This window comes from Homo sapiens, chromosome 7, assembly GCF_000001405.40.
Source record: "Homo sapiens chromosome 7, GRCh38.p14 Primary Assembly".
Taxonomy (NCBI): domain Eukaryota; kingdom Metazoa; phylum Chordata; class Mammalia; order Primates; family Hominidae; genus Homo; species Homo sapiens.
Window position 1 is genome coordinate 150449250 of NC_000007.14, and position 23212 is coordinate 150472461.

Genomic DNA, 23212 nt, shown 5'->3' on the forward strand with positions numbered 1-23212 from the left:
GGGTGGGGTTCTTCCAAAATAGATCCTCTTTCAATGAGGAGACAGGTAGAGTGGGACATGGGAAGGGCTTTGTCAGCTTTCCCCATCAAGATGTGTCCTGTGTGTCCCCAAAGCTCTTCTTGAGCCATCCCAGCATAACCAGGGTTTCCCTCAGGTTCATAACAAGGTAGAGCAGTCCTCAAGGCTGGCGCATGAAGACCAGTCCAGGGGGAGGGTGGATCCCTCGGGATGTGATAGGCTGACAGCAGCTCCCCAAAGCCTGTGGTTTTGACTACTGTAGAGACTTCATATCTGAAGCATGCCCCTCTACTTCAGCCACCCCCACTGCTCCTCCTTCTGCGGGGTCCCTTTGGAAAGCTTAGCACCACCTCAGACATTTGGAAAACTAACTTGAGCTCCAGTCCCTCGAGGCCCTAGCCTCTGCATCCTGTGAAGAGGGCCCTGCTGTGCAGAGCGCAGAGGGTCCCGCACTCACTTGGATGAACCTCTAGGGCATTCTGCTCAGTCTCAGGAGGGCAGACACTGTGGGACTCCACTCACATGAGTATCTGACGTTGCCAAAAATCATAGAAACAGGCCGGGTGTGGTGGCTCACACCTGTAATCCCAGCGCTTTGGGAGGCTGAGGCAGGTGGATCACTTGAGGTCAGGAGTTCAAGACCAGCCTGGCCAACATGGTGAAACCCCGTTTCTACTAAAAATACAAATATTAGCCGTGTGTGGTGGCGGGAACCTGTAATCCCAGCTACTCGGGAGGCTGGGGCAGGAGAATTGCTTGAACTCGGGAGGTGGAGGTTGCAGTGAGCCGAGATCACACCATTGCACTCCAGCCTGGGCGACAGAGCAAGACTCTGTCTCAAAAAAAAAAAAAAAATCATAGAAACGGAAAGTAGAACGGTGGTTACCCGGGCTGGGGTTCGGGGAGGTGAGTTGGGGTGTAATGGGGAGAGTTTGGGTGCTGCAGGATGAAAAGTCCTGCAGATCTGGCACACAACCATGTGAATGTACTTTCTACTGTGGGCTATACACTTAGAAATGGTTAGGATGGTACTATTAATGTTACATCATTTTTACCCTAGTAAACATTTTTTAAGAAGTCTTCCTCCGTGTTTGACTTCCTTATGAAGTAGAGACCAGGTAGTTTGGACACTATGTTCTTTCACAAAAGGGATTTCATTTTGTGAAATATTTGAAAGCATCGAAGTCTAGCATTTCACGTTTTGCAAGCTGGGGAAAAGCATTCATTCCCTGAGAAGCAGCGTTGGTCTGTCAGGCTTGGAGTTCCCCGGGTTGTGGGTTTTAGGGAAGGGAAGGGAAGCGAGGAAGGACTTGTGAGAGGAAGTCCTAAAGGCCACTTAAGGGCACACAGAGGCCCGGAGCTGGCTTTGCTCAGAGCTTGTAGCGGCGCCACAATCTCTGTCCTCTCAGGAACAGGAACTGGCTTGACGTCCTTTTCCTGCCCTATCCAAGCCCCTGTTCTTGCAGCCCTTCTGAAGCTCAGCCTGGCACCGGCCCCGGCGCCCCAGCCCCTGGCCAAGCCTCTGCTGTCATTTCTCCTCCCTCCTCTCAGTCTGCAGCTGCGGGACGGGCCGGGCTCCTCAGTTTCTGCTGTGTTGTGACCCCACGAGGCGCTCAGCACCCAGGGAAGGCGCGTGTGTCCCCGATGCTGGCTCCTCCCTGAGCCCCGACGGCTCTCGAGGTTCTGAGCCTGTGGCCTGCACAGGGAACTTCCTCTCCGACTGCATTTATGCCTCTGTGGATGTGAAGGCTATTTCTAGAAATCTCTTCCTTTGCAGAAACACCCGAAACCCTCCTGCCAGGAAGACCAGGGCCTGGGAAGAGGGTCGCTCTCCGGCCATTCTCCCCTCACCCTCCTCACCTTCCTCACATCCTGTGCCCTGGGGGACCAGCAGCTGCTTCCACCCAGGTGAGAGATGGAGGGATAGAGCCAGGTGGATTGCGGAGCCTCGGAGACTGTGGGACGCCGTGGGACCCCATGGGACACGACCGCAGTGCATGTGTGACATGTGCACTCGTGTGTAGATGTGTGTGCACTGGTGCATGGCTGTGGGGGAGGATGGGCTTGGCACCGGGAAGGCAGCCTGCTCAGCCATGGGAGAGGAGGCTGGGTTGAATGGCAGGGTTGAATGGCAGAGTTGAATGGCAGGGGCCCTGGGAAGCTTTCCTCCTGGTCCAAAGCGTGTCTCCCCAGCCTGCTGGGGAGTAGATTCGGCAGGATGGGGACAGAGGCATATTCCCAGACATCTATGAGAGTGGCTGTCCTAAAAGAAGGCGTGTCGGGGAGTGGGTGTGAGCCCTGAAGAGGAGGAGGGCTGAGACTGGCAGAAGGGAGGAAGAAGCAGGCGGAAGCAGCCGGTCAGATGCCCCATGAAGCTAGATGGTGCCGCAGAGCAGCCCCCAGGAGGAAGCCAGCGGAGCTCCTCCCGCAAAGCAGGGGGTGGGGGATGCTGATTTTTCCACGTCTGCTTTTCTGATCTTTCCTGCCCCTTGCACAGTTAGGATTCTGTGAACTGGGCATTGGAGGGATTGGAGGGGTCAAGACCTTACCAAAAGCAATATTTCTGATTTCACCTACATTTCAGCCAACCTGGTCCTCAGCAGTTAACCTCTTCCCTTCCTCTTGATGGTTGCCCTGCTGGGCTGGGTCTAAGGTCTTCCCCACGCTGGGCTCTGGAGGCATCTCCAACCACCCTGCTCTGTAAGTGGGAACTGCGATTAGATGTGGGATGAATCCCCGCATGGCTGGATGCTGTGCTCAGATGCCTGAGTCCACGTTTGCCTTGGGCTGTTTCCTGAGAAGGAGGCAGAGGCTGCCTTTACAGTCTTCAGTGAATTATAGGAAGAACGCTCTCTTTTTCTCTCAGTTGCTCTGCTGGGGTCTCCAGAGTGGCCTGGGAAATTGAGCAGAGGGAAATGTGGGCTGGCAGAGCGTGAGTGAGGGTGAGTTTGGGTACCTTTTTGTCCTTAAGTGCACTTTCTACATGTTGGGGTGAAGTGCTACTGGCTGGGAAGCTGTATGTGTGGTAGGAGTGTGCATGTGCGTGTGTGTATGTGGGTGTGTGTGTGTAGGTCCTGACATCATGTGGAGCTGCAGGCAGGAGTCCAGCCAAGACTCATTGGTTTGGTCATACTCTGCTGGGGAACCATGCAAGGCTGTGTCGCTTAATTGGGAAAGAAATTTCTTTCTTCTTCAGACCTGTGGGAGGCCTCTGCTTCCTTCAGCTTGCTGTTTTCTCACTAGTGTCTTTTTTTCTTAAATTAATTTACAGAGACATCTCACTTCACTTGCATATATATGTGTGTGTGTATGTATATATGTATATATATGTATATATGTATGTATATATGTATATATGTGTATATATGTATATATATGTGTGTATATGTGTGTGTGTGTGTGTGTGAGATATATATATATATATATATATATATATATATATACATGCGAGTGGAACTACAGGCACCCACCACCATGCCTGGCTAATTTTTGTACTTTTAATAAAGACGGGGATTTCATCATGTTGACCAGGCTGGTCTCAAACTCCTGATCTCGAGGGATCTACCTGCCTTGGCCTCTGAAAGTGTTGGGGTTACAGGCGTGAGCCACTGCGCCCGGCCTCCCTCTCAGTTCTAAAAACCGTTTTTCTTCTTTTCTTCACATTTCTGTCTCTCCTGTGATCGTTCATTCCTTTACCTCCACGTATTGGGCATATACTACATGCCAGGCACAATGTTAGGGCCTGGGGACACAGAACAAAACAGGCATGTTTGGAGTTTCAGCACATGCTGTTATGGAGCTTTGTACCAAGGGTAGTACAGAGAACATTTAGACATTTAAAAATAAAATTAATAAATAATTATAAAATATAAATAATATCAGATAGAATCAATGTTATGAAGAAAATTGAGGAGAGAGAGGAGATAGGGCATTAGTGTGAGAGCTTCTCTCCATAGGGTGTATCTGGGTGAAAGATGCTCTTAGAAGATCCCCGGTGCTGATTAGGTTTGAACCCACCGGAAATATTTTTCCCCTGGTGGACCGGTTCTGAGGTTCTGAGGTGTCTGAAGCTGCGGTGGGCTCTGCCCCGTGCCGTGCAGCCATCCAGATGATTCCAGAGAGAGGCCTCTGCCAAGGCCCTTGTGGGCTTTGCCTCGCCCTTTTCGAAAGTGGGCCCTGCCACTGCCTTTACTACCTCCCTGGGTCATTCCCTGCAGTGCAGCCTCTCCCCTGAGTGCCACAGACCCCATTTTTTGAAAAGGTATGAACCACCAAATTGCTGCACAGAAAAAGGGCTTTCCCACTCTTCACTTTCTTCGGCGTATCTGCTGCATTTTGCTTGTTCTTCAAGTCAATAACCATCAACTCAGAAACAAGTATTTATCAGATACTTTCTTTATGTTGTAGATACAGTGGTGAGAAAAACAGAGCAAGTCCTTATTCTCATGGAACTCACCTGTAGTGGTGGCAGACTAAAAAGCACTAAGCAACTAAATGCAGATGTGAAGGGTGACAGTAGTGGGTGTTGGGTACGGGGCGGGGGGCACAGAGGAGTCACGACTCTTAGGGTGGCAGTGGTGGGTGCTGGGTATGGGGCGGGGGTGCCCGTGGGGCATAGAGGGGTGGACAGCTCTTAGGGTGGCAGTGGCGGGTGCTAGGTATGGGGTGGGGGTGTCAGTGGGGCACAGAGGCATGGACAGCTCTTTAATAGCGGGTGGAGGCTGGAGAGGGCCTCCTGTACTAAGGGGACAGTGTGATAGAGACCTAAGGGAAGTGCTCAGGCACATGTCTTGCACATGTCTGCAAGGGACAATGCCCCAGTTCAGATGAACAGCAAGCATGTTTGAAGTACAGCGCAGGCTGATGTGACTATGGCACACAATGTGAGGGGAAGGGGGTGGGAGATGAGGTCAGAGAGCAGCTGGGCACAAGGTAGGGTCTCGTGACCACTATAAAGGCTTTGCCTTTTACTTTGAATGGGTGGAGAGTCACTGGGGGTGGGGGGAGGTTTAGAATGAAGCGTGACATTACCTGTCTCTTGTTTTAACAGGAGAGGAGAACTGTGGCTATTGGTGGACAATAGACAGCTGGAGAAGGGTGGAAACCGGGGAGCAGTGTTAATATTACTGCAAAAGTCCAAAGAGGAGCTGATGACCAGTTCAATCTGGAAAAGTTAGGAAAGGCTTGACATGGAGCCTCAGAGTCCTTGGGCTAAGTGATGGAGAATGGGTAGGAACGTTCCAGGCAGACAGGAGGATGGGGTGCAGGCAAGGGTGTGCTGGACCATCTGGGAAGCTGTAGCTAAGGTGTCAGTGGAGAGATGGGGCCTTGATTGTGGAAGGTACCACAGTAACAGGCTGCACATTCTTTTTGAGCCTACAGGAACACTTACAAAAATTTCACTGAGCCAAAAAGCAAATCTCAACCAATGACAAATAGTTTATACAGACATTGTTCTCTGGCCACAATGCAGCATTTGAAATAAAAAGGTAGTAGATGTCTCAATACATTTTTAAATTTAGTAATCACTTACTTTTGGGTCAAAAAGAAATCATACTTGAAATTAGAACATATTTAAAACTGGTCAACAGGCCGGGCGCAGTGGTTCACGCCTGTAATCCCAGCATTTTGGAGGCTGAGGCGGGTGGATCACCTGAGGTTGGGAGTTCGAGACCAGCCTGACCAACATGGAGAAACCCCATCTCCATTAAAAATACAAAATTAGCCAGGTGTGGTGGCGCATGCCTGTAATCCCAGCTACTCGGGAGGCTGAGGCAGGAGAATCGCTTGAACCCGGGAGATAGAGGTTGCAGTGGGCCAAGATCGTGCCATTGCACTTCAGCCTGGGCAACAAGAGCGAAATTCCATCTCAAAAAAAAAAAAAAAAACCAAAAAACAAAAAACTGGTCAACAAAAAAGAATGGAGGAAAAAACAACAAAAAATGGAGGGAAAACAACAACAAAGCTATAAATGCAATGCAATGGCATTCAGCATTTCAACAGGACTTAAAGAAATTGACAGCTGATTTTTAAAAGTCCTATACCAGATTAAAGAGCTGAGAGGAGCCAAGACAGTTTGGAATAATAGCAAGGTGTTGGGAGTTGCTCAGTCAGTTAACTAAGACTTATTTTAAAGTTATACTAAAGTTACAGGAGTTAAGTAATATTGGCATTTAGAAATGAAGATGTTCTGGTTCAGGAATACACTAAAAGTCCAATGGACAAAACAGAGAACCTAGGGATAGAACTGTGGACCTACGGGCACTTGGCGTCTGATAGAATCATTGGAGGAATCATGGACTATTTAGTAAATGGTGCTGGGAAGCTTGACTCTTCATGTGGGATCATTTAGGAATGCTCATTTTTAACTAAAGGTGGCTTAAACCAGAGCTTGTTAAATTTGAATGTGCACGAGGATAACCTGGGTCTTGTTAAATTGTAGATTCTGATTCAGTACATCTGGGGCAGGGTCTGATTCTGCAGTTCTAATGAGATCCCAGTTCTTGGCGATGTTGCTACTCTGTGAATTGCACTTTGATTAACAAGCTCTTAAATCATCAGAATATTAAGTGCTCATTTAACAAAGAGTTGGTCTCTGGGATATTCTGGGAGCTCAGTGACAGCAGCAGAAATCCAGGTGCCTTTTATCTTTCTGCTTGGTGGCACAGGTTGACTTTTTGTTTTAATATTTGTGACCTTATTGCCCCATACTATCTGCCACAATTCCAGATATCACACTTCAATCCCATGCAAGAAGTGGGAGGAGATGACAACAGGAACTGTCTACTTGAGTCTGTCTCTATCACCAAGGAAATAGTACTAATATTCCCAGAAGTTCCAAGCAGACTTTCATGTAACTGTCATCTGGTAGAGCTGGGTCACATAGACAACCCTAGTTAGAAGGGAAGCTGGGAGACAGAGTGTATTAGTTTCCTATTGCTGCTGTAACAAATTGCCACAAACTTAGTGGCTAAAACCCCACCAATTTATTTTACAGTTCTGGAGGTCAAAAGTGCTGAAATCAAGGTTTTCTGGGCAGCAATATGGTCCTTCTGCAGGTTCTATGGAATAATCCATTTCCTCACCTTTTCCAGCTTCTAGAAGCCACCTTCATCCCCTCAACTCCTGGCTCCTGCTCCTTCCTCTGTCTTTAAAGCTAGCAATGTGGCATCTTCAAGTCCCTCTGTCTCTGTGACCTCTGCCTCTGTCCTCCTGTCTCCTTCTCACTCTGACTTTCCTGCATCCCTGTTATAAGGACCCTCCTACAGACCACTGAGCCCACCTGGATGATCCAAGATTATCTGTCTCAAAATTCTTAATAACATTGGCAAGGCCCCTTTTACCATGTAAAGTAACACAGCCACAGATTCTAGGGATTAGCATGTGGACACCTTGGGCGACCATTCTGTCTACAACAGAAAGTACTTAGATTCCCCCTCTCCAGCATTTATAGTGGGCGATGTGTAAAAGAGAAGGGGATTAGTTTGTTTAGCCAATCAACAGTGTCATTTTTTTCAATATGGAAAAATGTTAAAATTAGTTGCCTACCTCATACTATACACAAAAGCAAATTCCAGAGAGATTAAAGTTCTAAATTGTGTAAGAAATATTTAGAAGAAAATAAAGAATATCTCTTTGATGTCATGATAAAAACAGAATTTTTAAATTAAAAAATGCACAGTGTGCTGAGACCAGCTCAGTCGTGGAGACCCCAACCCAGTGGTGCTAGAGGAATGAAGACACAGACACAGAAACAGAGTGCAGAGTGGGATCAGGGGGCTGACAGCCTTCACAGCTGAGAGCCTTGAACAGAGTTTCACCCACCTATTTATTGACAGTAATCCCGTGATAAATATCTTTTCTGCAGTTTATAGATTAACTAAAAGTATTCCTTAAGGAGAACAAAGGGACAGGCTCTGGCTTGTTATCTGCAGCAGGAACATGTCCTTAAGGCACAGATTGCTCATGCCATTGTTTGTGGTTTAGGAACACCTCGAGCGATTTTCCGCCCTGGGTGGGCCAGGTGTTCCTTGCCCTCATTCAGGTAAACCAGCAACCTCCAGCGTGTGTGTCATAACCATCATGAGCATGTCACAGTGCTGCAGAGATCTTGTTTATGGCCAGTTTCTCATGGCCTGTTTATGGACAGGCTTGGGGCCTGTTCCCAGCAACAATGCTTAAATTATGAAAGAAAGGGTTGATAAGAGTGGATTAAAATTTAGTGTTTTTGTGTGTATGACAAAAGACATATTTAGAAACCTAAAAATAGGCCACAGACTGTGAAAAGATCTATGAGATGTGTAGAATCAACAAAGGTTTAGTAACCAGAACATATACATCATTTCTACAAAGCAATAAATTATACTAAATATCCATAGGGACAACTGGGAAAAGAATATTAACTAAAAATTCACAGAAGGGCCAGTCCAAATAACCAACAAGCACATGAAAAAATGTAAAACGTAAACTCTGACAGCTGAAAACATTCGTGAAATACTGTTTTACCCCTGTCAGATTGGCAAGATCTTGAAGGTCTGATGAGATTAAGGTCTGAAGAGATGCAGACATCCTGAGGCCAAAGCCCCAGCAAGCTCCACAGGCTCCACCTTGCTCATGGGCAGTTCTTTGAGCTGCACTCGGCCACTCTCCACTCCAGCTGCACTGCCTTCCCTGCTCCTTCCCCAACAGGCCCTGGCCTTTGAACTTGCTGCTCCCTCTGCCTGCAACACTCTTTCCTCAGAGAGCCATATGCCTGGCTCCTTCACCTCCTCACCACTTCTGTCTTGCTTAGATGTAAGGCACTGAGCACTTTAGCACCTTTCCCATGTGTGTTAGCCAGGGTTCTCTAGAGAAACAGAATGAATGATGTGTGTGGTGTGTGTGTGTGTGTGTATGTGTAAGATACTTATTTGAGGAATTGGCCTTCATGATTGTGGAGGCTTGGTGAGACCAAAATCTGATAGGGGAGGCTAGCAGGCTGGAGACTCAGGAAAGAATTGCAGTTTAGGTCCAAAGGCAACCTGCTGTAGAACCAGGAAGAGCCAATGTGGCAGATGAAGTCCAAAGGCCATCTGCCAAATGATTCCTTCTTGCTTGGGGCAGGTAAGCCTTTTATTCTAATCAGGTCTTCAACTGATTGGATGAGGCCCACCCCCACAAGTGAGGGCAATCTGCTTTACTCAGAGTCCACTGATTTTAATGTAAATCTTATCGCAAAACACCCTCACAGAAACATTTGGAATAATGTTTGCCTAACTATCTAGGCTCCATGACCCAGACAAATTGACTCACAAAATTAACCAGCACATGTCCTCACCTTATCCATCTGGAATCCATACACTTCTCCATAAATGACACTTAATCTCCCAATTAAAGACAATAACAAGGTCATAAATCCATCTAACATGATACAACTGTCCTGCATACAACTGATATGCACTAATTCCTTCTCCAGAAAAAGAAATAAAGTCTTTTTATCCTTCTCTTTGATATCCTGTAACTTAAGTACTATGATGTAAAGTTAACCATACTTAAATATTATAATATAAAATCAATACATCTTTTGTTACATGTTAGAGGGATAAGAGAGGGAAGAAAACAGAGATATTTTACACACATACATTCATTACAAAGTAAGGAGGAAATACTCATAACAATTATAATCCTCATTCCTGTAACTAGTCACGTGGTCATAACTGGTATTGATAACTACCTCCTTTTACCACCCATGCTATTTTCCCTTTACCATCATCAGTGAGCTCAGCTGGTTGTGGTTCTTTATCTGGGGAGGTGGAGGGTGACCCAGACCTTTATTCCTTAAAAATCTGAGTTATTAGTAGCCCTGCCTGGATTGGGTTGTTGTAATTTTCCATTGACTTTAATCACAGGACGTGGCTACACTAAGAGATGCCCTAAGGGATTTCCTGTATTCCATATTCTTTCTTACCTCCATTGTAGAGTAGTAGTCCAATTTCCCCTTGGTAGTAAGGATCAATCACCCCACCCAATACCAAAACTCCCTTCTTGATGTTGATTGAGAGGCATGAGGAGCCCAAAGTGGCCAGGTGGCATTCTTAACTTCTAGTTCAATGGAGTCATTGTTGTATCTCCAAGTGGAAGCATTTCTTTTTTTGGAACTAAGACCTCTAGGCCAGCATAAGACCTTGAGGATGCGAAGTAAAAATGTTGCTAGTGGGTCACTAGGAGTAATAGTGAGTGGTACCACTCCTGTTTCTACCCCTTGATTCCTGGATCCATGAATCTTGGCTATGGGAGAAACAGCATCATATATTGGATGCTGATCCGGAGCATATAGAGCCTCCTAGAGAACCTTGCCCCAGTCCTACAAGGTGGTATTGTCACGTAGCTGGTGCTATAACTGAATCTTCAGAAGGCCATTCCACTTTTCTATCAATTCCGCTCCTTCAGGATGGCAGGGAACATGGTAAGACCAGTGAATTCCATGAACATGGGCCCATTGCCTCACTTTTTTTGCTGTGAAGTGAGTTCCTTGGAGTGAGTTCCCGTGAAGTAAGCCTGTATGGAAAATCATGGCAATAGGTAAGGCATTATGTAAGCCCAAGGATTGTAGTTTTGGCAAAAGCATTGTGTGCAGGGAAGGCAAATCCGTATTCAGAGTAAGTGTCTATTTTGATAAGAACAAAACACTCCCTCTTTCATGACTGAAGTGGTCCAATGAAATCAATCTGCCATAGGTAGCTTGCTGATAACCCTGGGGAATGATGCCATATCAGGGACTTGGTATTGGCCTCTGCTGCTAGTAGACTGGGCACTCAGTGGTGGCCATAGCCAGATTGGCCTTAGTGAATGGAAGACCATGTTGCTGGGCCCATGTATAATCTCCACCTCTGCCATCATGGCCACTTTGTTCATCAGCATATTGGATGATGTCAGGGGTGGCTGGGGGAAGAGGCTGACTGGGATCCACAGAATGGGTCATTTTATCCATTTGATGATTATTTTAATAAAATCTTCCTCTGCTGAAGTCACCCTTTGGTAAGCATTCATATGGGACTAAATGTCTTCATGTTTTCTTCATGTTTTTCACCCATTCTGAGAAGTCTACCCACATACTTCTTCCCAAGACTTCCTTGTTACCAATTTTCTAATCATGTTTCTTCTAGGTCCTTGACCATCCAGCCAAACCATTGGCCACAGCCTATGAATTGGTATATAATTATACTTGCCATATCTCCTTTTAAACAGAATGAACAACCAGGTACACTACTTAAAGTTCTGCCCATTGGGAGGATTTTCCTTGACTACTGTCCTTCAGAAATGTCCCAGATTGGTGCTATAGTGATGAAGCTGTCCACTTTGGGTAGTGCCTGCATATTGTGCAGAACTATCTGTAAACCAGCTCTGAGTTTTCTCTTCCTCTGTCAATTCATTGTAGGAAACTCCCCTATGAGGTCATGAGTGCAGATTGGGAGAGAGAAGGCAGTATAGCAGGAGTAGGTATCATGGGCATTTGGGCTACTTTTTCATGTAACTTGTGCATTTAGGGCCTACTTAGGCCCAATCTCATATATACCACTTCCATTGGATGATGGAGTCCTTCCGTGCACACCTGACTTTACTGTATACTCAGGTTGCATGTCAACTTGGTGGCCCATGGCTAAGTGTTCAGTGTCTACTAAGGCCCAGCGGCAGGCCAAAAGCTGTTTCTCAAAAGGTGACTAGTTATTCATAGACAATAGCAAGGCTTTGCTCCAAAATCTTTAGGGTTTGTACTGTGAGTTATCTATAAGGGCCTGCCAAAGGCTCCACACAATATCCCATATTGGCTACTGATACCTAAGCACCATTGGAGCTAATAAATTATATGCTCAAACCATATCAGGATAATGCTGACATAACAGATGGTCTAGCCTGGAAAATTCTCTATGTGCTTATAAGAAGAAAGTGCATTGTGTAGCTGTTGGAGGAAATGTTCTGTAAACATCTGTTAAGTCCACATGATCTGTGGTGTAGATTAAGTCCTATGTTTCTTCATTAATTTCCTATCTAGATTATGTGTCCAATGTTGAAACTGGGGTATTAAAGTCTCCACCTATTATTGTATTGGGGTCTAGCTCTCTCTTTAGCCCTAATAATATTTGCTTTACCTGTCTGTATTAGGTGCACATACATTTATAGTTATTATACTCTCTTGCTCAGTTGATCTATCATTATATAATAACCTTCTTCGTGTCTTTATGTTTTTTATTTAAAGTCTATTTTGTCTGATGTAAGTATAGCTACTCCTGCATGTTTTTGGTTTCTGTTTGTGTGCGATATGTTTTTTTTAATCCCTTCACTCTCATTCTATGTGCTTTACAGAGGAAGTGAATTTCTTGTAAGCAGCATATAGTTAGGTCTTGTTTTATATTCCATTCAGCCAGTCTATACCTTTAAATTAGTGAATTTAATCCATTTACATTTAAGGTTGTTACTGATAGATGAACTTACTCCTGTCATTGTTTTGCTTTAAATTGGTGAATTTAATCCATTTACATTTAAGGTTGTTACTGATAGATGAACTTACTCCTGTCATTGTGTTGTTTTTGGATTGTTTTGTATATCCATTTTGTCTCACATGTCCATGTGTAGAGAGTCCACCAACAGGCTTTGTGTGAGCAAGAAGGCTGTTTATTTCACCTGGGTGCAGGTGGGCTGAGTCCGAAAAAGGAGTCAGCAAAGGGTGGTGGGATTATCATTAGTTCTTATAGGTTCTGGGATAGGCGGTGGAGTTAGGAGCAGTGTTTTGTGGGCAGGGGGTGGATCTCACAAAGTACATTCTCAAGGGAGGGGAGAATTACAAAGAACCTTCTTAAGGGTAGGGGAGATTATAAAGAACCTTCTTAAGGGTGGGGGAGATAACAAAGTACATTGATTAATTAGGGTGGGGCAGAAACAAATCACAATGGTGGAATGTCATCAGTTAAGGCTATTTTCACTTCTTTTGTGGATCTTCAGTTGCTTCAGGCCATCTGGATGTATATGTGCATGTCACAGGGGATATGATGGCTTAGCTTGAGCTCAGAGGCCTGACACATTGTTCCTTTATTTTACTCTTATTGTTTATCCTTGAAATTTGGTGGTTTTCTATAGTAATAACATTTGATTCCTTTCTCATTCTCATTTGTATATCTGCTCTACCAATGAGTTTTGTACTTTGTGCATTTTCATGGTGGTAGATACTGTCCTTTCACTTTCACATGTAGGACCCCATTAAGCATTTCTTGTAGGGTTGGTCCAGTGGTAATAGATTACCTCAGTTTTTGTTTGTATGGGAAAGGCTTTATTTCTTCCTCATTTCTGAAGGATAGTGTTGCTGTGTATAGTATTCTTGGCCAAAAAATTTTTTTTTCCAGTACTTTGAATATATCATCCCATTCTCTCCTGACCTGCAAGGTTTCTGCTAATAAAACATGGTGTTAGTCTGATGGAGATTCCTTTATATGTGACTTGAGACTTTTATCTTGCTGTTTTTAGAATTCTTTCTTTGTCTTTGACTTTTGACAATTTGACTACAATATGTTTCAGAGAAGATGTTTTTGGATTGAATCTATTTGAGAATCTTGAATTTCCTGTGTCTGAATGTCTACATCTCTCACAATACTTTGGAAGTTTTCAGCTATTATTTATTACATAGATTTTCTGTGACTTTTCCCATCTTGTATCTTTCTGGAACTCTCAAAATTCAAGTATTTGTTTACTTTATGGTGTCCCATATGTCATATAGGCTTTCTTTATTCTTAAAAAAGTTTTTTTTATCCAGACTGAATTATTTTAAAAGACCTGCCTTCAAGTTCAGAAATTCTTTCTTCTGCTTGATCTAGTCTATTTTTGAAGCTCTTGGTTATATTTTTTTATTTTGTTCATGGAATTATTCAGGTCCAGGATTTCCATTTGGTTCCTTTTTTTTATAATATCTATCTCTTTATTGAATTTCTCATTCAGATCATGAATTGTTTTTTCTGATTTCTTTGTATTGTCAATCTGTGTTCTCTTTTATATTGTTGATGTTCCTTAAGATCATTATTTTGAATTCCTCTTCAAGCATTCCAATATTTTCTTTTCTTTGGGATCTGTTACTAGAGAATTATTGAGTTCCTTTGGAGATACTATGTTCCCTTGCTTTTTAATGTTTCTTGTGTTTTTGCACTATGTGCATCTGGTGTAACAGTTGCTTCTTTCAATTTTATGCATTGGCTTTCACAGGGAAAGACTTTTTTCTGTACACATATCTCTAGTGTTGATTGGGTAGGGTGCTTTGGCTTTGATTCTGGGTAGGTGCAGTAGTGTAGTCTTCATATGATTTCTTTGGCTGTAATCAATGTCAGTGATGTCTGCAAGTTCCTCAGTGGTTTAGCCTGTGGTTGTTAGTGAAGGCTGTGGTAAGATTTCCTGGGGATAGAGATACCAAGTGGGCTCACCCTTGGGCCCTGGGTGATGCACATGAGCACCAGTATTGGTGACTATGGGCTATGTGGGTCAGTACTCAGTCCTCTGAGTGGCATATACAAACACTGATAGTGGCAGGTGGAGGACCCGAGTAGGCCAGTATTTGGGCTCCCAGGTGGTGTGTGTTGGCCACAGCAACAGGTTTGGTGGGCCAGTCTTTGGGCCCCTGGATGATATATGTAGCATTGGCAGTGCCAGTAGCAGTGGTGGGCCAGCCCTTAGACCCCCAAGTGGCATGCATGGGCGCTGGTGGTGGCAGTAGTGGGCTGAGCTGGCTGGAACCTAGGCCCCTGGGCAGTGTGTATAGGTGTCAATGGCAGCAGTGATAGGCAGGATAAAGTAAATTATTTTACTACTACTTGTTATTTTCAATATTTGGAGTAGTTTCTAGGGTAAACTTTCCTCATACAGAGTTTACATTAGCTTCAGATGGACACATAAGTATGATAAAAAGGAAAAGAACCTAAAATGCTCATTTACATGTAATAAAAACACTACAAATTGATACGATTCTTTGTAGACGGCAGATCATTTTCCAATCATCATTTTGCATATTTTCCCACTTATTTTAAGGACTATGTTATTCTTACTTAATGAAAATATATTTTACAAGAGAAGTTATTGCCAGATGATGCAAATGTATGTGTGTATGAGGAAATTATGGGCTGAACATGGTGGCTCATGTCTGTAATCCTAACACTTTGTGAGGCCAAAGCCAGAGGATTGCTTGAGGCCAGGAGTTTGAGACCCACCTGGGCAACATAGAGAGACCCCATCTCTACAAAAGATTTTAAAAAATTAGTTGGGCATGGTGGTGTGTGCCTGTAGTTCTAGATAATCTGGAGGTCGAGGCAGGAGATGACTTGAGCCCAGAAGGTTGAGGATGTAGTGAGCTGTGGTCCCACCACTGCACAACAACCTGGGCAACAGAGAGAGACCTTGTCTCTAAAACAGAAAAAAAAGAAAAGAAATTATAGGCATATTTTAACAATTTATGTTAAATGTGCTATTTATGTATGATGGAGCCACAGATGGAGCCAGATTGTTTTCTTTAAAATTTTCTAAATATACCAAATTCTTTAGAATAAACACTAAACTTCATAATCAGAAAAATATAAAGAATGAAGAGGTTATGGCACAGAGTGATCAGATAATGAGTGTAAGCACATTGTGAATTGGCAGCTAAGGGATCTTTGCCCTCTGCTGGAGCAGTTTTGATGGAGTGGTACCAATCTGTCCCAGTGACTGACTCCTCCCTGGACTCCCACAACATTGTCCTCATGTGTGTCACATTCTTATCTGCTTGCTGCATCTATGCCTTTTATTTGTTGTTGTTCAGTCTTTTCATACAAGTGACAAAAAGGATGCTGGAGCAGGCTTGGTGAGAACAGGAAGGGAACCCATCAAGGGGCAGAGACACTAGAAAGGGTGTGAAATAACATGAATAACTTTCTGACTTCACCATGGACCATGGAGGGGTGGCCATCCAAGAGGGTGCTGTACGAAGCTTTCATAGGGAGAGCCACTCTCTTGTAGATCTGCATAGGTAAACCTTCCCAGGTGAGGGCATCATGGCCAGCTTTGCAGTCTTGGAAACTAAGTTTTTAAAGAGAGGAACACAGGATCCCTGGTGTAACCCTGTGTGGGAATCACAGCTACTTGCTGATGTACCCTAAAGGGAAAACCTGTGATTATGGTAGAGGGGAGTTTTTTTCCTCGCAGCGACAGTTTTGCCATGAATTTCCAGGCCTCACTTGATTTCAGGTCAGGGTCTCTTGGGCAATCCAGAAGAAATTGTACAAGGCAGGATGACTGAACAGGTACAGCAAATCAGCTCAAAACATATGTCAAACAAGGTGGGGCCTGAATAAATAAATACAGATGAGTAGTTCACTTGGCTGGAGCATACAGTGTGTTGAGGAGAGTGGCTACAAGTAGAGCTGACTCTGTGGGCTGGAAACAGATTGCAAAGAGCTTGGCACATTAGCTCAAGAGTTTTGGGTTTGACTTGCCTGGCAGGTGGAAGCCTTTGCAGGGAGAATATTAAATCCAAGCAGCACTATCTATATACTGAAATCGTACCACTTTGCATTTAGGTAATATGTGGAAACTTGCAAGGTACTTTCTCATTTGTCATCTCATTTGAGTTTTATAAAAATATCCTTGAAGTAGGTAATACCGCTTCTATCTTATGGATTAGGACACTGAGACTCAGAATGGTTAAGTGGCCTCTACAGATCTCAGCTAATGCGTGCAGAGCAGAAGGTGAACCAGGTCAGAGTCCAAGACCATGGTCATACCCACCACATCATGCTTCTCTGTTAACTTCACCTGGCACTGGGTGCATCACGAGTCCCACAAATGAAGTTTTCTAGTTTGTCTTCTGTGATATTATTTTCAGAGTATCATGTATACCATATATTATATTTGCTTGTATGCTCTAGACATTTCATTGCATTTTATAGGGCAATGCTTCCCAAACTTGGCTACTCATTAGAATTACTGTGACATTTGATGAATACAGATTTCTAGGATCTTTCCTTTGAGATTCTGATTTAATAGGTGTAGGTTGGGTCCCAGAGATCTGTATTTTTTAAACATCTGACCATTACTATTAATTATGAGATTTCCTTCAACTTTGAAACATGCTTATTTAGTATGGTTTCTAACATATCTGACTTCTTGTGGTTCCTAATGGTAAAAAAAAAAAAAATTTAAGGAACTAAAAGAGATCTCTAGGTTTGTCTCAGAGATGAGGGAACAGGAAGATCCTGGGAAAGTGTTTCTTGTTCTAATCTAGTCTGGGTCTAGAACTTCAGTAGCTCAAATTCATTGGCGGCAATTTGAGTCAAAAAGAGAATGTCTTTTCTTGCTGTTTTCCTGTCCACTCTGTGTGGGAGTTGAACATTAATGTGTTGTTTTCTGTCCCAACAGAACAAGCGGGAGCCTGTGTCAGGAAAGCATGTCAGAGCAGAGCTGCCAGATGTCCGAACTGCGGCTCCTCCTCCTGGGAAAATGCCGCTCGGGAAAAAGTGCCACAGGAAATGCCATTCTGGGCAAACATGTGTTCAAGTCCAAGTTCAGTGATCAGACAGTGATCAAAATGTGCCAGAGAGAGAGTTGGGTCCTGAGAGAAAGGAAGGTTGTGGTAATTGACACCCCTGACCTTTTCTCCTCAATAGCTTGTGCTGAAGACAAGCAACGCAACATCCAACACTGCTTGGAGCTCTCTGCTCCCAGCCTCCATGCTCTGCTCTTGGTAATTGCCATCGGCCATTTCACAAGGGAGGATGAGGAAACAGCCAAGGGCATCCAACAAGTGTTTGGAGCTGAAGCCAGGAGGCACATCATTATTGTCTTCACTCGGAAGGATGATTTGGGGGATGACTTGCTGCAAGATTTCATTGAAAAAAACAAACCTCTCAAGCAGTTGGTTCAAGACTATGAGGGCCGATACTGCATTTTCAACAACAAGACCAATAGTAAGGATGAGCAGATCACCCAGGTGTTGGAGCTCCTTCGCAAGGTTGAGTCTTTGGTGAATACGAACGGAGGACCCTATCATGTGAACTTCAAAACTGAAGGCAGCAGGTTTCAAGTAAGAATTTTGTTAATATCTTGAAAGATCTCTATGTTGCTGAACTAGTGGGATGAAAGTGGGTATAAATAAATGAAATATTGCATTGTGTGATGGAACATGGGTTTTGTTTAATAAGATATTTATATATAATTTGCAGGAATAAGAGGTATCAGATTTTAGGGTACTTTAATTATCAGCCTAAGGACTTTAGGCTTTATTAGCAAATTAATGGACAAATTTAAGCCTTTATCTTACTTGGTCCCTCATATTCTTCAACACACAATGATTTGTTTGACTCTCTCTTCCCCTGACTTCAATATAATTGCCCTCTCCTTGTTCATTTGTTTTATTTTTCCCTCTTTTTCTGGCTATTCCAAAGATCGCTGAGTCCTTCTCTAATCTCTGACGTCTAAAAATGAACATCCTCAGGGCTTGGTTCTGGCCTTCCTCAATTCTTTGTACTCTCTTCTCAGATGATCCCACACTTTTATGGCATTGAGCTTCATCTACTACTAACGGTTTTCAAATGAGTAGTAACTCTAGTCCAAATCTGTCCTCTGAGTTCTGCCTCCTTTACACAATTGCTGCTTGGGGTCTCCACTTGTCTCTCTTATACTTTCTCACACTTAATATGTCCAAATTTTTGATTTTCTCTTTTAAATCTATAAGACTTCTCCTTCATGCTTCAGAAAAGGGCTGTGCTGTTCACCATGCTCTTTGTACCCACACCCCAGTGTCAGCTCTGCTACCCTGGTAGCTCCCCTTGGAGAGCCAAGAAATCATCAGGTCTTGCGGGATCAATATACCCAGAATCCACCTGCTTCTCTCCATCCCACTCCCACCACCTGGTCCAAGCCTACATCGTTTCTTGCCTAACCTATTTTAACGTAATGATTTTCTCCTCATGTATTCTTGGGCTGTATCCCACAACCCATCTCACACATTACAGCCAGGGTGAGATTTTATTTAAGCTTTTGATGTGAAAGGAAAATGTATTTGTAACTAAGGAAGATACAAAAATGCAGTCTTTTGCCTTAGAGGTGCTTACACTTTAACTGGAGTGGCTGATGCATAAGAAACAAAGCACTCCTGGCTGAGTGTGAGGGGGATGCTAGCACAGAGGATTTGGCAAGGGGAAGCCCCAGAGGGTGTACAGCAGGCACACACTGAGCCTGATGCGTAACATCAGTTACGCATGTCCGTACTATGGAATAAATTCTATCTACTTAAAGAATGATGTAGTTCTATCTATATTGACTCCTACAGATGTACAGAATGCATTATTAAGCAGATTGTAGAACATATAACTTAATAAGTCTCCATATGTTCATGTATGCTTGTATGTATTTGTATGAACATAGAAAAAGTTAGAAGGATATATACCAGTTAACAACTGTTACTTTCTGGTCAGAGAGAGACTGCTCAGAGGGAAGAGTAATAAGCCCAAGCAGCATGGAAATAAGAGAGAAATCATTTACTGAATGCCCACTAAATTCCAGACAAAGACATAAACTAATTAAGTCCTCGTGACAACCCTATGGACAGATGCTCTACACATGAGGAAACTGAGGCTCAAGAGGGCTGAAGACACTTGCTCTCTTATCTCCTAGCCTGAGTGCTCCCTCCTCTGTGACAATCTGTCTCTTCCTTGAGGGCTGCATGGAACAGGGATGTTAATAAAGAGAAGAATGGGTGTGTAGTAAGTTTCCTACAATGAAACCCTCTGGTTTTACATGCTCCAGTGACTTCCTGCTGATCATAAGGTAAAGTTCAGAACTCTTAATTTGGCTTGACTCCTTGCCCTGTGCTCCGCTGTCTATGCCTTGGTCCTGCTGGCCTTCCTGTTTGCCCCTGAGTTACACTCACATCCACTCCTGAGCCTCAAGCCTGTGATTCTCTCTGCACTGACACTTGCTCTCCCCCATCCCACCCTGTACCAGGTTTGCTTTTATTTCTCCATCTGCATCAGCTAAAAGTCACTTCCTCAGGGAGTCCTCCCTGACCATCCTGGCTCTCAGGCCTTGGAATGAGCCCCACAGCTTCCTTTCCTCATGGCAATGTCACCACCACATCAAGTGATTTCACTGGTTGTCTACCTACCCACTCCATGAGGGCAGAAGAAATCATATCTGTTTTGTTGACTATAGCATCTCAGTTTTGTCTTCTGTAAAGCAGAGATAATAATCACATGTATGTCAGGAATTGCTGTGAGAATTAAATGAAATGCTTACAAAGTCGTTAACAAATGCTTGAAACTTGGTAGGTGTTCAGTAATGCTGTTATTATGATGATGATGAAAATGCCTGAGGATTAAATAAATTAAGGAATCATTAAGAACTTTAACAGCCCAGAGACTGAGTTAGAGCCATACTTTTAGAACTCTATGCCCTGGAAATAAAAAAAAAAAGGTATACCTAAAGATATATGTACAAGAATAGTTAGCACAGCATCATTTGAAACAGTAAAACCAGAAATAAACCGAAGATTGATCAATGAAAAGATGGTTGCATCAGTTACGCATGTCCGTACTATGGAATAAATTCTATCTACTTAAAGAATGATGTAGTTCTGTCTATATTGACTTCTACAGATGTACAGAATGCATTATTAAGCAGATTGTAGAACAAATAATAAGTCTCCATATGTTCATGTATGCTTGTATGTATTTGTATGAACATAGAAAAAGATAGAAGTATATATACCAGTTAACAACTGTTACTTTTCTGGTGGAGTGGGAATGCAAAGATCATTAATTTTTATATTATGGACATTTACCTCATAACAATCTTTTGAATTTAGAGAACACTAAATAATTTGAACTGGGCTATGTAAGGTTAAAGAAATCTGATAATGACAGCTAAATGGAGAGGATGCAGGGAGAGGGATGGTTGAGGGTGTCAATGATATTGGGCAAAGCCAGGCAAGAAAGCAGAGGGAAGATTTCCTTGGCTGGCATGAAGATTTAACAAAGATAAGGTTAAAATGAAGTCTAGGAAGTTTCTAAGACTAGCAGGTTCATCAAGATTGCATACTGTTTTTTCACCTCCTTTCTTGATTCCACAACAATAAATATTTTGGAACTAAGTATCAGGATTCCCCAGGCAGGAGAAGGGGATGTCAGTTAGGTGTTTGGTTCTCTATCCTGTTGTCTCCATTTGCCAGACTTGGGGGGGTGGGGAACGGGATTCCAAATTATATTGGACAATTAACCTCAGGTTAGAATAAGCTTCCTTTCCATACTGGGAGCAGTGAGGGAAGGAGACGTTGGAAACATCACCTTCTCCGAGAACCAGTCCTAGCAGCATCAGGGGATCTAAGGATCCACTGCCATTGTGGACAGGTCCACAAAGACCAACAAAGACCATGACCAGGGCCTTGATTTGACCACATCTGACTCAGCAGATCATTCTGAATTAATACTTCAATTTCCTTTTTTTTTTTTTTTTTTTTTTCAGTTTGTGGAAGATGAGGTTTTAGATCTGTGTGCACTATTTTGTTCCTTTATTTTCTAGGATTGTGTGAATGAAGCTGCATCTCAAGAGGGAGACAAGCCACAGGGTAAGTTGATCTTTAAGAAACATTAAGCTCACACTTGTATTCTTTTGAATGCATTCTGCAGCCAAAGTGAAGCGGAAACATTATCCATATAAACCAGAAAATTCACCCTGGGGACCTAGCTGAGGTTGGTTCCCACAAGCTATCCCCTAGGAAACTCCTAACACTTGTGAGTAGGTATAGCACCAGCAAAGTTCCTGGACCCAGCGAGGGTGTCCTTGGACTTTTCTGAAGTGTTACAGAGCTGGGCTTGCCTCTTGTGTCTTCTTTCCTAACTCAGACTCTTCTTTCTGGCCTTGGATCCGGCCCTGCCCAAGTTTTGACTCCTCTTAGGAAAGCAGAAATCACTCCTTCATGGACAACACCAACTTGGAGAATTCTCTGATGGGGTGCAGTATTCAGGTGATGATTGCCAGTAATGATAGATCCTGCACATCTGCATAAGTCAATATGTATAGATCTACCTCCTTCCGTATAGTAGATGCAGTTTGTTTCACAATGTGGACACACAAAACAAATGCAACCATGCCTTTACTGATGGATTTGCAGGTTATTTCTGGGTCAGCCCTGTGCAAGCTCTGAGTATCCAGTCGTGAATAAGATAGACAAGATCCTTTTCCTCATGGAAATCTTCCAAATAATAAAATCATAATTTTAATAGTATTGCTAATAATTATAGCTGAGGCCGGGTGCAGTGGCTCATGCCTGTAATCCCAGCACTTTGGGAGGCCGAGGTGGGTGGATCACTTGATGCCAGGAGTTCAAGACCAGCTTGGCCAACATGGCAAAACCCTGTCTCTACTAAAAATACAAAAATTAGCCAGGCATGGTAGTGCGTGCCTGTCGTCTCAGCTACTCGGGAGGCTAAGACATGAGAATCACTTGAATCTGGGAGCGCAAGATTGCAGTGAGCTGAGATCATGCCACTTTACCCCAGTCTGGGCAACAGAGCAAGACCCTGTCTCAAAAAAAAAAAAAATTGCAGCTGACATTATGTCCTGGGAAATAACTTTCATAAATATGTAATTCAATCTTCATAGCATATTCATATATAATCCTCTTAAAATACACCAGTTCAATTCTTGTAACAATCTTGTAAAGAAGATGTTGTGAGCCTCATCCTCATTTCACAGCTGAGTGCACTCAGCCAGAAATACGTGTACTCAGGCAGAAGGGTTTCAAAATTCTGGCAATGCCCTTTGGCCGAGACCCCAGGAACACACGTGTGACTGAACAAAAGTGCGTTTATTGACCTGTGGCTGTGAGGGCCCAGCACACCATGGGGAGTCACAGGGCTGTCAGAAACAGGGGGCAGGGAAGGACTTTTTATAGGATGTGGGCTCATGTTAGGTGATTCTGAGGAAGGTTCCAGGAAGTGGGACTTTGCTCCAGGATGGATGCGCTTAGGAAGTGGGGGGTAGTTCCACAATGAAGTGTTTGAATAATTCTTCTGTCCAAGGTGACAAGGGTGGAACGAGGCTAAAGCCATCAGGAGGCAGCTGTCATCTATTTAGCCAGTGCAGGGGATGTTCGGGCAATGCTGTTGTTTTTGTGTGCTCAGATACGATTGCAGAGTGGTTGTGGTTGTGG

The 23212-nt window shown here is 43.6% G+C and overlaps 1 protein-coding gene across 2 annotated transcripts in view; it reads left to right on the top strand.

Moving 5' to 3' along the window:
• The first annotated feature begins 1380 nt into the window (after positions 1-1380).
• The window catches only part of GIMAP8 (GTPase, IMAP family member 8), a 28764-nt gene continuing 6932 nt past the window's right edge, over positions 1381-23212 (top strand). The window contains exons 1-4 of one of the 2 annotated variants that reach the window (XM_005249950.5): positions 2379-2718; positions 2885-2960; positions 17422-18085; positions 21580-21625. In XM_005249950.5, the coding sequence (XP_005250007.1) occupies positions 17450-18085; positions 21580-21625 (682 nt within the window). In that variant the 5' untranslated portion in view covers positions 2379-2718; positions 2885-2960; positions 17422-17449. Of the gene's footprint in view, positions 1927-2378; positions 2719-2884; positions 2961-17421; positions 18086-21579; positions 21626-23212 lie in introns of those variants that run through there. The other variant, NM_175571.4, reaches the window with a different exon arrangement.